Below are 15661 nucleotides of genomic sequence, written 5' to 3' on the forward strand. Positions count from 1 at the left end.
ATTCAGATCTTTTGTCTATTTTTTAATTGGATTTTTAGATTTTTTCCTAGGGAGTTGCTTGAGCCCCTTATTCTAGTTATTAATCCCTTGTCAGATGCATAGTTTGTAAATATTTTCTCCCATTCTGTGGATTGTCTCTTCACTCTGTTGATTGTTTCCTTTGCTATGCAGAAGCCTTTTAACTTCACGTGATCCCATTTGTCTATTTTTATTTTGGTTGCCTGTGCTTATGGAGTATTACTCGAGAAATTTTTGCCTGGCCCAATATCCTGGAGAGTTTTCCTAATATTTTCTTTTTGTAGTTTCATACTCTGAGGTCTTAGATTTTAATTCCTTAATCTACATTGTCTTGGTTTTTGTATATGGTGAGAGATAGGGTTCTGGTTTTTACTTTTCTGCATAGGGATATCCAGTTTTCTCAGCACCATTTTATTGAAGAGAATGTCCTTTCCCCAATGTATGTTCTTGCCACACTTGTCAAAAATGAGTTCACTCTAGATGTATGAATTTGTTTTTGGGTTCTCTATTCTGTTCTGTTGGTCTATGTGTCCGTTTTTACAACAGTATCATGCTGTTTTGGTTACTATAGCTGAGTAGAGACCAATTTGAATGATCTCTGTTACTACAGCTGAATAGAGGCAAATCTGAATTGTCTCTACTGAGCCACAGTAACTTCCCATGGTCCCCAGGCCATCCCATGGTCTCCTGGCCAACTACTTTCAAAAGCACTTAAGACAAAGATGGAAGGTAGATAGCAGGTTGGATGCTGGGCAATATATGGCCAGTCTCCCAAGTCCCAAGTGATTCTTCCCCAATACAAAGTCCTAACAATAACTTTCACTGCCACTGCGCAGAACCTAAATGTAATGGCAAAACTGCTAAAGAGCTCAGAGTCTCTCTCCATGTTCTGTGTTCCCGATAACCTGAGTGTGGTTATTCTAGCAGGCAAACAAAATAGAAACAGAGATATGTGTCACCTGAAATACCTGTGTTGGTTGGAGTTTTCTTCAAAACTCTTCTACCTGTCTTTGATACAGCAGTTCATTACAGCGAGTCTCATCCTCTACTATACAAGGTCATGATTCTCTTGCCCAAGGGACTGTCCTCCATGCTGTTCCCCAAATACAGCAAAACCTTTTCCCCATTTGATCTGCTCATTGTACAGTCTGCATCTCCCAAAGGCATTCTCTGTTGGACATTTATGGAAATCCACTTCATCTTTCAGATCCAGCTTGAGTCCAGCCTTTTACATGAAGCCTTTCCCAGTCATACAAAACCACATCTATGTCTGAATTCCTGTGAGACTTGTTGACTATGCTTTAGCCTCTGTGAAATTCTCTCCCACTTTAAATAGCAAAGTCCAATAAAAGCAATGGTAACTCATTCTATTTCAAAGGTACAACTTACAGTATATTTCAGGCTGCTGGGGATACAGTGGGTAAGCAATACAGGCTTACTTGCTAAAATAAAATGAATAATACTAATTATTTTGATGGATATCTGTCTCCAAGTTATATACATATATGTGAATAATGATTTTTAATTTTTTATTAATGAGTTTTAATTTGCACTATGTCATATAATCCTTACAGCAACCCTGAGAGATAGCTATTCTTACAATAGCATTGATGGTTTAGAATTAGCTAAAAGGTAGTCTAAAACAGCTTCAGAGTATTAGGATTTCAGGCATATGATCCTCACAAATTGGTATTTTGTAGAAAAACTACTCAAGAAAAGAAGGAAAACTCTACTCAGAGAGGAACTTTCAGCCTTCAGAGTTGTTTTTCCCCTCTTCATCTTTCTTCTCCTTTCATTTAAATTCCTGGTTAATGAAACCCCCACCTCACTATCATCCTTCAAACAACTATGCAGATTGCACTTTCATCACACGGTCTGTCTTAAACAGCTCTCCAAAAGAAATAAAAAGAATTCTGTGCTATTTACTTTTTTTTTAAACGATGAAACAAATAACAAGGAGAAAGAGCCATCTAACAAACCTTCACCCTAGCAAAATGCTGAGCTGCTTGCAGCTACCAGCCAGTTTGATTAAGGTGTCATCCCTCCTCTTCATTTATATTTATTATTTTTGGAAGACTTTTTTTCCCTTTAGTGTTTGTTTATCTTTTCCAATTTTTTAAAAGTCATGAATCATAGTTTGATTTACAACCTTGCTCAGGGGAGATCGGCAACTCTAATGAAGGAGCCGTCTGCAAGTGTAATTAATACCTGCCAGACATTTTACCACATTAGCGTGCCAGTATCCTGGGCTGGGGAAGAATGAAGCCGGGAGACACATGCACCGAGCTATGCAGCCACTCACACAGTGCATCAGCAGAGATTAGTGATATGAAGTGGGAGGGTGCAGAGGATCACCACCCCACTGGTCAAGCTCAGAAGACTGGAAGAACAGGCAGGTGAGAGGAGCAGAGAGTCTGAGAGCCTGGTGAGGAAGATGAGCAAGGTGCATGGAGGGGGGATGTGGAGACAGAGACACTGCATGTGGCTGATGGATCACTCCCATTTAGAACACAAAAATAAGGCAGCTTGCCAGAGCAGTTTGGGCCAGTTTCATTAAAACTCTTCATTCATCATACTGAAATGAGGCAGTATTTGTTATTGCACGGGTGCCGTTCTAGCACGAAAGCTATTCCAATACTAAGCAGTAATTCAAGAAAGGCAGAGTAGCAGGTGGGAAAGGAGACTGAAGAAAGGAAGACCAGCATGCATTGGTGTTTGCCCCATTCTCTCCCTCAGCCCTGCACCCAGCAGTACATAGGCATGTGGAAAAGGCCCAGAACCTCCATCATGGTGAAGAGCCAGGAACCCACATTCCACTCTAAAGCCACTCCCATGGGACAAAATAATCAGAATGATCATCATCTGGCTTCTCAGTAGGGAAGTTACGGAGGAGCAGCTGCATTTTCATATGTTGCCTTAATGTGCTCATGGAAGAATAAGTTTTCATAAATGTACAAAAATAATTATAAGTGTGTGTGTGTGTGTGTGTGTGTGTGTGTGTGTGCGCGTGCAGAAAGGTGTTCCTGCCCATCCTTAAGGTGAAATACAACTATGAAAATGGTTAAAATGATAGCACCCTAAAATTTCCCCAGTTATTTTTGTCTTCTTCATCATAAAACTCTTTTGTTTGCTTTTAAATACCTTAATGGGGAAGAGAAAAGACAGAATTAGATTACAATGTAAAAGGTCTGCACTAATAATTGGGTCTAACACTGGTACCGATACTTCCTTATACCCGATTACACAGACGAAGAGAAAAGAAAAAAATAGCTACACAAGAAAGGCCTGACCATTGTTTCTCATGCATCAGTTGCTGCGTCCCTGGCCATGCTACGCCAGTCTTTTCTTGGTACAATACTCACCCTGAGATATTTCTGACAGTCAGATTATGAAAGCTTATGTAGTAATGTTGTAGGTGTTATAAAATGAACAAACTCGCCCACAGCTGTAAAGACATGACTGGCAGTGATGTTCCAAGATGAGGAGTGAACTGCATATATCAAACTTGTCTCCAGCCTTTTGATCGATTCTTTGTTTGCTGCCTGATGATGCCAAGACTGCATCTGGAGCCAAAGCTTCGGTAGTAGCTAACGGATAGCATGCATTGTTAAATTACACACAGAACTGCTGTGGAGGATTGCGACTATAGTAGTTTATTTTCCAGGATTGAGGTTGGCATCTGAATAACACAGAATCCATTTTTCAGCTTGGAATACTGACCAGAAATATGGCATCTCATATGTGATATGAAGAATTATTTAAATTGTGTTCTAATTTTGTTCCTTAACATTAATTCATCTCTCATTTATTTACTTATTCAGCAGCAAGAGTGTTTCTAATGACTGTAGGGCAAGTTGTAGGCAAGGGAGATGCAGAGATGAATAAGATACAATTTCCCTGCCAAAGGTGTGCATTTGAGTTATGTTTACAAATAAGATATCCATAATAAGTGACATTAGAATGATAAAAGGATTCTATGAAGGAGACTAAGTGCTGACAAAATATATTCTCACAGACACACAAATATACACAGTCTGTCAGCTTATGGGTGTTGCAACTATGAATTTGGCTTTAAATACTAACATCAAGAATACAATAGTCTGACCTCATCCATGGGGGATACTTTGTAAGACCCCCCAGTGGATGCTTAAAACCATTGATAGCAGCAACCCTTACATCCACTACGTTTTCTCCTACGCATACCTATCTATGATAAAGTTTAATTTATAAATCAGGCACAGTAAGAAATTAACAACGATAACTAATAATAAAGTAGAACAATTATAACAACATGCTGCAATAAAAGTTATGTGAATGTAGCCTTTCTCTCCAAAATATCTTATTGTACTGTATTGCAGGTAACTGAAACCATAGAAAGCAAAACTGTGGAAAAGGGGACTCTACTGTACTGCATATTATTTTCAACATTAAATTAAAAAAAACCTCCACTGAAAACACAATCTCACTTTAGCCCTGCATTTGACTTTTTTGCTGTTTGACCTTTTCAAACCCTGAAGTCCAACTATCTTACATGAGACTCACCTAAGCTTCCTACCTCCTTTCTGTTCTCTAGGATAAAGCTGTTGATGAATGGCCAAAAAAGGACAAGTTAAGGGGAAAAATTGGAACCAAAGAGCCCAGGTAATTATTAGACTGAATAATTGCCTTCTGCAAAAATGAGTGTTGATTGTACATATAAATTACTAGTTAACAAAAAATATTAATATGTAGGTCCAGAATGAAAATTATAACATTCAAAATAGGTAATTTGGTGAGATGGAAATATGCCCTATAAGTCAAATGTTAAAAAGCAAGGTTATCATTCATTTGATGTCAACTGATTAATTATAAACTCACTGTAGCCTAGAATAGCTCACTAATAGGAAAGCAGTGGCTCCATCATTTTCCTTATCACTGTCAAAAAATAACTAAATTACCATAAAAGAGTGGCGCCTCCATGTGAGGTCTTCCTGGCCCATTATCAAGCTGCCCAACAAAATATATCTACTTGTCCTGCTAGACATAACCTCAACCATTTTTTATTTATTGTGGTTGGGGAGGGTAGAGATGGTATAAATAAATCTATAGAAAAAAACCCAAGCCTTACATTAGCTAATGGTTTAACCTTCTTAGAATTTCCACTGCTGTCTTTAGAGATGTGGATTTTCTATATATCTGAAAAAGTAAACCAAAGAAAAATATATTAAGCTTCCTTTCTTGTCATGCATAAGTAGCTTCCAAGGAAATAGCTAATGCTCAATGAAATGGACAAGAGACACAGTAAGCAAGGTAGGATAGGGCTTAGAGAAACATGCTGAGTTAGCACATTTCAAATTATTAAATTAGATTGCCTTTTGGAGGAATCTATCTGCTACCTTACATGAATTAAAGATTGACTAGTTATAGGACGTAGAAGATAAAAGAGAACTAACATAGTATGCTTTCAGCCTCTGTGATATGCCAGGAACTATGGACATGCTACCTCATTGATTCTTTTATGACATATTTTAAAAGGTAGGTATATTCCATTTAATAGGCAAGAAAATTGAGGCTTAGAAAGTTTTAGTAATTTAATCAAATTTTTGCAGCTAATAAATGATGAAGTTAAAATGAAACCTCTGTCTTACCTACTCCACTCCACAGTTTTCCTCCCTAGAACACATTATTTTAACATTTTAACTGTTTGCCTATATTGGAAGCAGCAGGGAACACTGAAGACACCTGTACAGCCCTGAAGAACAACTCAGTTTATACACTGGGTGCACACACACACACACACACACACACACACACAAATTCACATAAACATGCTCCATCAAAATGCAAGCTGCATAGTCAAAAACACAATGGATTGATTTACTATCAATAGAGATGTGTCAGACTTGCTTTAGAAAATCCTTGTTAAGGGGGATTTTTCATCTCATTTTGGGCCACTTTTATTTTGACTGGCAATCTTATCTCAGCACTTTGGAGTTATTTCTCAATTCAGTACGCTTTACATCATTCTGCAGCGAACAATGAAGACCCATCTTTTAAATAAGATGAACAGCAGTATTTCATGTTACCATAGGTTCAAATCTCAGTGCTGCTACCTTTTATCTCAGTGACCTTGAAAAAGTTACTGAAACTCTATGTCCCAATTTCCTCATTCATAAAATAAGAATAATATTAACATGCTTACCATGAATGGTTAATACACGTAAAATACTTAAAAGGGTGCCTGGTGCCCATTTACTGTGATATAATATTTTGCCTTTATTATACTGATAACATAGATAAAGCATATAGCCCGGGGCCTAGAACTGAACAGGGGCTTAACAGTTCCTATTTTCCTTTCCTCATATGAAAACACATAGTCACTTTCCTTCAGAAAAAAACTGTAGCTGAATTAAGTTCATTCACTGTTCAATGTCCTTTTATTTCTTCCACTCCTCTAACTCTCCAGTATCCCTACCTTAGATTTTTACTACTCTTGGGAAACACGTATAGTGTTATTTACATATGCCCTCACATATCCCGAGAGTCTAATTACTGCCATTCATGGGCTAACCCTGGAACTCTGATGGGTTCATTTTATGATAAAAATAAGAAAATATATCAGTATAAACCCCTGCTTAAATTTCACTGAGTCTGAATTACAGTAAAAAATAAAAAGAAGAAGAAAAAGGTAAAATGACAATCGCTGAGCTGGGAATTATCTTAAATCTTATCCTCTCCCTTTGGCATCTGATGTTTAATAATTATGTGATGGAACAGAACAGACTAGGCTCTGTTTAAATATTTACATTCTAAGAATTTTTTAAATGATGAACATCATTTAAATATATTTCTTTATTTTGAGCTGAAAATGTCCTCTCTTCCATTCATTGGCCCTGGATTTGCCTTCCATGGAAATAGCACCCACGGTTGTTTCTGGTATTTGTAGTAGATGCTGTGGTGATTCTCTAGACCCTCACCTGTAGGAGAAGAACATTCACTCCCCCACTACTGAGTCTCTCACTGAGATATCAATTGAGTCTTCCTTCAAAGTCACAACCTTTCTGGGACAGCCTTTGCCTAATGACAGGTCTGTGCGGGGCCATAAAGTCCTGGCCCCTAGCCCCATGAGTCCTCTGTTATAAGTAAATTGTGGATCAGCAACTCTCTCTGCCCAATCATGCCGCCTTCACTCTCCCACAGGTGTTAAACTCAATATCACTTTGAATGAACTTTGGTCTTTGTCTCAGAGTACGCTTCCTATGGAACTTAATGAGTAATAGTGTATCTACCACTTTAAGTTTAAATTGCACTATTTCCAAGACCTAATACGTTACTCATTTGGTTTTTCACTTATTTATCTGTTCATTCATTCATCCATTTAGTCATTCATTTCTTCATTCAACAAAAGGATTTTGAATAAGGTTAGCATATATGTATATGGTAACATGCTGAGTACCACAGGGACAGAGAATGTCCTTTCCCAACCCTTATCCTGATACAGCTTACTGTCTACCAGGTAGGATTGGGTAAGTATAACAGTACACCAACCATAATACTAGGGAGAAAATAGTGCCAAGACAGAGAGAGAGAGAGAGAGACAGAGAAAGAGAGAAAGAAAGAGAGAAGCAAGCAAATTAAATTCAATAAATAAATAAAACCAAAACAAATTACCATCGAACATCATCACAGGTGATATGGTTTAGCTGTGTCCCTACCCAAATCTCATCCTGAGTTGTAGCTCCCATAATCCCTACGTGTTGTGGGAGGGACATGGCAGAAGATAACTGAATCATGGAGGCGGGTTTTTCCCATGCTGTTCTTGTGATAGTGAGTAAGTCTCATGAGATCTGATTATTTTATAAAGGGCAGATCCCCTGCACACACTTTCTTGCCTGCCACCATGTAAGATGTGCCTTTGCTCCTCTTTCGCCTTCTGCTATGACTGCGAGGCCTGCCCAGCCATGTGGAAGTGCGAGTCCATTAAACCTTTTTTTCTATATAAATGACCCAGTCTCAGGTATTTCTTTGTAGCAGTATGAAAATGGACCGATACAAGAAGGATGTATGTACTCACATGAGTGTGATAACTTCTTAAAGATATAACTTTCTATTGAATCTTTTCTACTAAATCCTATTATTTAGAGTAGTGTTTTTTCCTGCACCCATGCCATTACTTTCCTCCCCACCTGCAGCTCTTTATGGATACCTTTTCTGTATACAACCTTAGACCCTTATCTACCTTCCTAGGCCCTTACGATTTTCAAGTGTTTCAAATTTGATTTTATGCCTGAAGGATATTGACACCTTTCTTTCCCTTAAGCTTCCTACTAATCCACTTTCTCCCTTTGGTACTTCTTTCTATATCATCTGAAGTTTGAAGAGAAATGATATCTCTAATGAAAATCCCATGAGGGAGAAGGTGATAACAAGTCAAGCCTTAAATCTCTGCTCATATCTGCCAGAAAGTTGTAGTAAAATATTGTAGTCTTTCATTGACAGAAGAGTTTAAGATTAAAATCCAATGCTCATAAAATATACCAATTTTAGTAAAACCAACTAACATGACACTAAGTTATATCTGTTGAAAAAAATTCATTAATGCAATGAGTTAGAAGTATAAATTTTAAAATGAATAAATGAATAAAACTAATTCAATAGTCCACTCTAAACAGATTTTAAAGTATGATTAGCAGCATTACAGTTAAAATATAATGCATTTATGTTTGGGCTATAAAGTATTACGTGTAAATCATAGATGTCGATCAGGCAAATGTCATCTATGTCCACTGAGCACAAGATCCCAGGTTTTTTCCTTGATAGCAAGAGAATCTAAAAAAGAAAAGTGTCTAGAAAATGTCCACTGGCAATAATTTTACAAATCCCCCCCCCCCAAAAAATAAACTTGCAAATTCCACTGAACTGGTCACATAAGAAATATAAACATCTGCATAAACCTTTTAAAAGTATAGGTTATATGTTTTTCCTTTTGTTAGATTTTTCTTGGTAAATAAAAATAAAAAGTTTCTAACATTTGACTGAGACGCAGTCATCTTTGTTCTAGTCAATGATGAATCACAGGTATCTAGAACTGTGCCAGGTACCAAGTAGGCACTTGAATTTTGTGGAATGAATGAATAAATTCCATCTTGACATCTGTAGGCATATCCTCTGTCACTTTAAATATATTACTCAACAGAGTAGTATATTTGAAGTATATCCTTAGTCATTTATTCAATATTTAACAAATATCTACTGAGTCATGACTTAATGAAAGGTGGTATCTTGGATGTTAAATTCAGGTTTCACTCAAGGGGAGAAAGGTATTCCTAGTTAAGTATAATATCCATTAACACAATTTGAAACTGGAAGGTAACACTTTAAATCTACTACTCAAAGTTCAAAATCATTAAACTTTTCTCCTGATTATTCCTACACAAGCCATTTTATTTTTTCCTCATATTCTCTGTGGCAATGCTGCTTCCCTGGGATTTTCCTTATGCTTTCTAATTAGGCGTCCAATTGGGTGTCTGAAAACAATCTGAAGTAGGTAACATGCATTTTAAATTACTTTTATCTCAAAGGAGACAATATTTTAACATTCCATTATTACATTATCATCTTGATTATTGAAGTGGCTGTTGTAATAGAGTTGTTTTATATTTTATTTGACCAAATCCAAATTAAAGAAACACAAAGACATAAAATGATGAGATATCCTTAAGGGATAGGGGAGAAAAGATGAAGTAGAGAATAAAATATAATAAAGTACATATTCTTAAATTAATTAAATAATTTGATACCTATTATTATTCTTGCCACACGAAATAATGGAATTAACTGGATAATAGTGAAGATTCCACTGCAAAAAAAAATTCTACTTAAAATTTTGGGTTCATAAGACTAGAGGTAGGTTTTCTTTCTAACAATAATTCTTATTCTGAAATATCAACAACATATGCAATGTAAACCAGTATAAATTTTAATTTTTTTATGGAAAAAAAATTTATTTTTGAATGTGGCCTCTGATTTCATATCTGCACTGTTTTCTTCTTGCTACCTTCCAGTTTCAAATTGTGTTAATGGATATTACACTTAATTAGGAATACCTTTCTCCCCTTGAGTGAAATCTGAATTTAACATCCAAGATATCACCTTTCATTAAGTCATGACTCAGTAGATATTTGTTAAATATTGAATAAATGACTAAGGATCAAGTGCATTGAATTATAACATTAAATATGGGTGGGTTACTACAAAAGGAATAAAAGATATTTTAGTTGATGTAATCAAAATTATAGTACTAAAATAAAGAACATGCATTTGTAACAGTTTGTATGTCTCTCATATTTCATACCATAGTTTAATAGTTACACTCTAGTAGTAAATACTAAGCTATTTTTACTCCTACTTACATATAGCTGTGTCTTCTATGTGTTTGCACATGCAGTTTGCCTGGAATGTCCTTCCCATCTCACCCCCGGCATCTGGCTGCAATTTCTGGTCCTCCTTCAGATCTCAAGTTAGAAGTCACACCTTGAAAAGACTTAGTAGACACACCCACCCTTTTAGGAGGTTTTCCGATAAGGCATCATACTACCCTACTCATATCCCTACAAAAAGACTTGAACGACATAAGGAAATAAACTTTAATTATATGTCTTTCTCTTTCCCTTAAGATTGTGAGTTCCTTGAAAGAAGAATCTGTGTCTTGTGCACCATTGTTCTTCCTTACCTGTAACAGAAACCCTGGCACCAGGTAGGCAAGTCTTTGATAAATATTTCTGGATTGATTAAGTTGTATTTATTCATTAAATGTATGCCAATTTCCTTTGTTTTTGCTACTATCCTAGCATTGCATGTTACTTCCATGAAGCTGATCTATGAAAGCAAAATATTAACATCTTATGGCAGGTAATTTTTGCCTTGATAGCCTGTGATGAGTTACTGACTGCTTGTTAGAAATGTCACTGCCTTGTTCCTGTTAGGCTTACAGCTGACATGTTGAAAAATTTATTCAATGTATAAAAAAGCTCTACAAAGATATTCATTGTATCACTGTTTATAATTGGGAATTGTTTGGATAGTCGAATGAGCTGTGTTACATCCAAACTATGAAACATTATGCAACAATTACGAAGAAGAAGGTAGATCTATGTCTTATAAAATAAATTGATATTCTACTTAAAAAAAAGCAAATGGCTAAAAGATACTTTCAGTACAATACCATATTTAAAAACTGCAGTGTACTTTCTGTGGTTACCATAGAGGTATAGTTATAACAGAGGCATATGGACATATGGAAAATAACCATAGAACTCATATTAAACTCACTTATGTGATCAGTGGCTACATCTAGAAAGGTAGAGAGGGGACCAAGAATAAGGCTTGGAGGTCAAAAGCGACTTCTTTGAAATGTTTTTTTTTTTATGGATAATGTTTTAGTTTTTTAATAAAGAGTTCTTAGTTATAAAATTAATCTTAAACATGTTGATACTTGATACATTTGAAAGATAAAAATATATAACCTATGAACAATTATGTAAAAATATACCGTCCATGTATCAATTTATATAAAGGTAGAATGCTAAAAATGAAAATTTGGCCTATAGTAAACATCTCTAAATCAAAACATTTTCTTTCATAATAAATAAAAGAGAAGGAATTAGCTATATTCTATTAGCTCATAATTGTGTGGATAGTAGGATGAAATAAAAATGACTACATAAGTCAGAAACATAAAAACAGCCATTGATTTAGAATCTGTTGACATGAAGGCCACCCCGGCTCCACCACATCTTGAACTAGATGAGTCATAAACTCCAGAGTATCCATTATGCTAACCTATAAAGTCAAGGTGGAAACTAGAGTAGTGATTCTCAAACCTACAAGTCATGATTCTCTTGGGGGAACACACACAAAAATATTATATTGAAGAATATGCTGTTATATGCTGCTTCATAATAAATTACTGTGCAGATAAATGGTAATATGCAGCACATTTGTTTGTTTCATTTTGTGTTTTAAAGCTTTCTCTTCCAGCAGACTGATGTGAATGGAGGCAGAGAACTTGTTTTAGTCAATGTAGTATCCCTTGCACTTTTCATACTATGTAGCACATTATAGATACTCAATAACTTGTTTTTAATGAATAAATGGCAAAATATCATAGGAGAAAATTTTTAAGATGATTCTGTTTATTAAACTATCTCCCAGTACATGTAGATAATCCCACCATTATTTTATTATAGAAAATCTACAGTCGTTCCAACTTCTAAAATGCAATTAAGAACTCCAGTTATGATAATCTTTAAGGATCATTCTTCTCTAAGATAATATGTCTCTACAGCTTTTACTGCCTTTGAAAATCCTCTCTGTCACATCTCCTGAAGAAAACAGTTTCTTGTCCAGATGAATTACAGTGAAAAAGGAAAAGCATTTATCTGAACATTAAAATCCCTTTCCATTACAACCCTGAATTCTTTAGAATAATTCTTGTTCATTTGGGTAATTTCCGATTACCTTAAACCAGTATACTTGTTATTCTCATAAAGCGGATGTACAATTCTACCTGGTGTAACATGAACTCCGGAACCAGGTTGCTTGGGTTTGAATCCTAAGTCTACCAGGTATAAGCTCTATAACCTTGAACAAGCCACTTAATATTTCCATGTCTCAGGTTCCTGATCTCCAAATAAGTAAAATAAAAATAATTATATCAAACCCTTAATTTAAAGTTTAACTCAGTTAGTACATGTGAAATGCTAAGAACATGGTTTGGCCGGTAGTAGCTGAGAAAATGGACCTGTAGTAACTGCTATGCAAATATTCTTTGAAATAAAAACAAAACGAAATAAATATGCTAATCTTTTTACCAGATTGCATGACTATTCAGTCTTAACAAAGTTGGCTAAGATTAGGCCAACATCATCCAGAAAAATGTCCTCAGTTATAAACAGTAGGGAAATCTTAGAAAGAATGATTGAAGCACACAAAGTAAACAACACAGGAAAATTAGCGATATATGTGTCTGCAGAAAAATGAGAACCAAGGGTTCCTGAGGTAGATGGTTAGGCATTTCATGTGTGTAAAAGATTCCAATTATAAATCTGGAAGACAAGGCACTGGTAGAGTACCTGACCCTAATAAATAAATACTCATTAAAATTTTGCTTAATTTAGTATAAATAAATTTAATTAATTATTCAGTTAACTGGTAAATGAAATAGTTGTTTGACTATAAGCCAAGTCACTTGACATGTCTAGGTTCTGTTTCCTCAACTGTTAAATAAGGAAAATTATCTAGATCAGCATTTCCTTAATTGTGTTCAACTCAAGACTGGGTTCTTAGAGTTGTTAATCAGCTCTTGGAAACAAATCCATGGTTGAATAATTTTAGGAAAACCCATATGCTATCTTTCTCTTGCATTTACAAACAAACTGGTATAGTAGACATTTTAAGATCTTTTATTGTAAGGAAATTTTATTTATCTGACAATTTCCCAAACTTAATTGACCATTGACTCTTTTCCTCTGGTTTCTAGCCTATTGGTATTTCACAGAATTACTGCTATTCTGAACAAAAATTGGAAATAATACTACTCAATGTTTGGTGTGTGGCTCAGTGTCAGTCTGCAAATTATTTACCAGTCTATAACAGAATAAGTACAAAAACTAAGAGCAGGCATTTAAAAACTTTTATAGCAATTTGACACAGTAATTTTATGTTTATTGAATCTAATAATGAAAATCAGGGATTGTATTTTGTAGGTTTTCCCTTCATTGCTTTTTTCCTTATAAATTAATTTTTATTAGTTGTTTTTTTTTTTTTTTTTTTTTTTTTTTGAGATGGAGTCTTGCTCTTTAGCCCAGGCTGCAGTGCGGTGGCATGATCTGGGCTCACTGCAAGCTCCGCCTCCCAGGTTCATGCCATTCTCCTGCCTCAGCCTCCAGAGTAGCTGGGACTACAGGCGCCCACCACCGTGCCTGGCTGATTTTTTTGTATTTTTGGTAAAGACGGGGTTTCGCTGTGTTAGCCAGGATGGTCTCGATCTCCTGACCTCATGATCGGCCCACCTCGGCCTCCCAAAGTGCTGGGATTACAGGCGTGAGCCACAGCGCCTGGCCTTTTATTAGATTTCACTTAGTCTCTTGTACACTGAAAATTTTTTCTGAATGTTCACAGCAGCTTTATTCATAAGAGCAAAAAACAACAAAAAAATTAAAATGGGTTCTTTACCACAGATAGTTTCAGAACACCAATGTCATCTCCAAAAAGATTCACATTATAAATCCTTCCACTAATTCCATGCAGAAGTCCATGAAGATGAAGTTTCCTGGGTTCTACTGCAAACTTTTATCAGAATCTTTAGAATCATAGGGAATCTACATTTTCACAGCACCCAAGTAATTCTGACTATATTTTGAGCATTACACTGTGGCAACCTGATGGGAGAAGCTGTATTTTTATTTATCTTTGTTCCATCAGTAACGAACCCACAGTAAATAAATATGTTTGTAGCATATGTAAATGAGAAAAATCAAGTAACGATATGGAGTCTCTGAGGTCTATGTTCATGGATAGTTTAGAGTTAAACAAAACTGGAAACAAATTACTACCCCCAAAGAATCAAATCCTATACATCACTTGTCAGGAAAAAAAAAATGCCATTCTCCAGACACTTCCACTTACAGCCTACTTCATGTTTTAATTATCTTGAAGTGGGTGGGATTTTTCAGCATGATCCTGCAAAACTGTCAATCATTTCTCTTCTTATCCAAGCATAGCACCATAACAGAAGTTGATCTACTAAACAGCTCCTTAGTACTGCAATTTAATATAAAAATACACTCTCAGTCCATGTCATAGCCAACATTATATTCACTATGTGGACACAAATAATTTGAACACTTTGTTAAAATATACTTTTACTAGTCCTTGCCCAGTAAGGCATCAATCAGTTTAATTTTACTGTGGAATTTTTGTACATGTTTTCATGTTCATATCTATAGAAAGCTAAATGTTTAAAGTCCAGCTTGACATGTTTCTCATATTTTTACTCTGCTAATAAGTCAAAATATGTGTGTGAGACATGAATACCTTAGGATATTGTGTGTCTGTTTGTTGAGATGACCCTAAACTCTGACCCTAAACAGTGGTCCTCCACTTGGACCACACTTTGGAATTGTCTGAAGTACTGAGAAATACAGTGCTTACTTTGGCAGCACATGTACTAAAATTGGAACAATACAGAGAAGATTAGCGTGCCCCCTGAGCAAAGATGATATGCAGACTCATGAAGCATTCCATGTTTTTGAGAAAAAGAAATGCTTTTACATTGTTGGTGGGGATGAAAATTAGTTCAACGATTGTGGAAGACAGTGTGACAATTCCTCAAAGATCTAGAAGCAAAAAATACCATTTGACCCAGCAATCCCATTACTAGGTATATACTCAAAGGAATATAAATCATTCTATTATAAAGATACATGCATGTGTATGCTCATTGCAGCACTATTCACAACAGCCAAGACATGGAATCAACCCACGTGCCCATCAGTGACAGACTGGATAAAAAAAGTGGTATATATAAACCATGGAATACCATGCAGCCATTAAAAGTAACAAGATCATGTCCTTTGCAGGGACATGGATGGAGCTGGAAATT

General features: G+C 35.8%; 1 long non-coding RNA gene and 1 pseudogene across 1 annotated transcript in view; both read left to right on the plus strand.

The window, feature by feature from the left end:
* LOC105374056 (uncharacterized) overlaps positions 1-10753 on the plus strand; it is a 56435-nt gene extending 45682 nt beyond the window's left edge. The window contains exons 3-4 of the long non-coding RNA XR_924361.3: positions 4592-4659; positions 10674-10753. This is a non-coding gene — a long non-coding RNA (uncharacterized LOC105374056). The remainder of the gene's footprint in view (positions 1-4591; positions 4660-10673) is intronic.
* RNU6-1200P (RNA, U6 small nuclear 1200, pseudogene) lies at positions 15203-15309 on the plus strand (annotated as a pseudogene).

Source organism: Homo sapiens, chromosome 3 (assembly GCF_000001405.40).
Source record: "Homo sapiens chromosome 3, GRCh38.p14 Primary Assembly".
NCBI classification, from domain to species: Eukaryota; Metazoa; Chordata; class Mammalia; order Primates; family Hominidae; genus Homo; species Homo sapiens.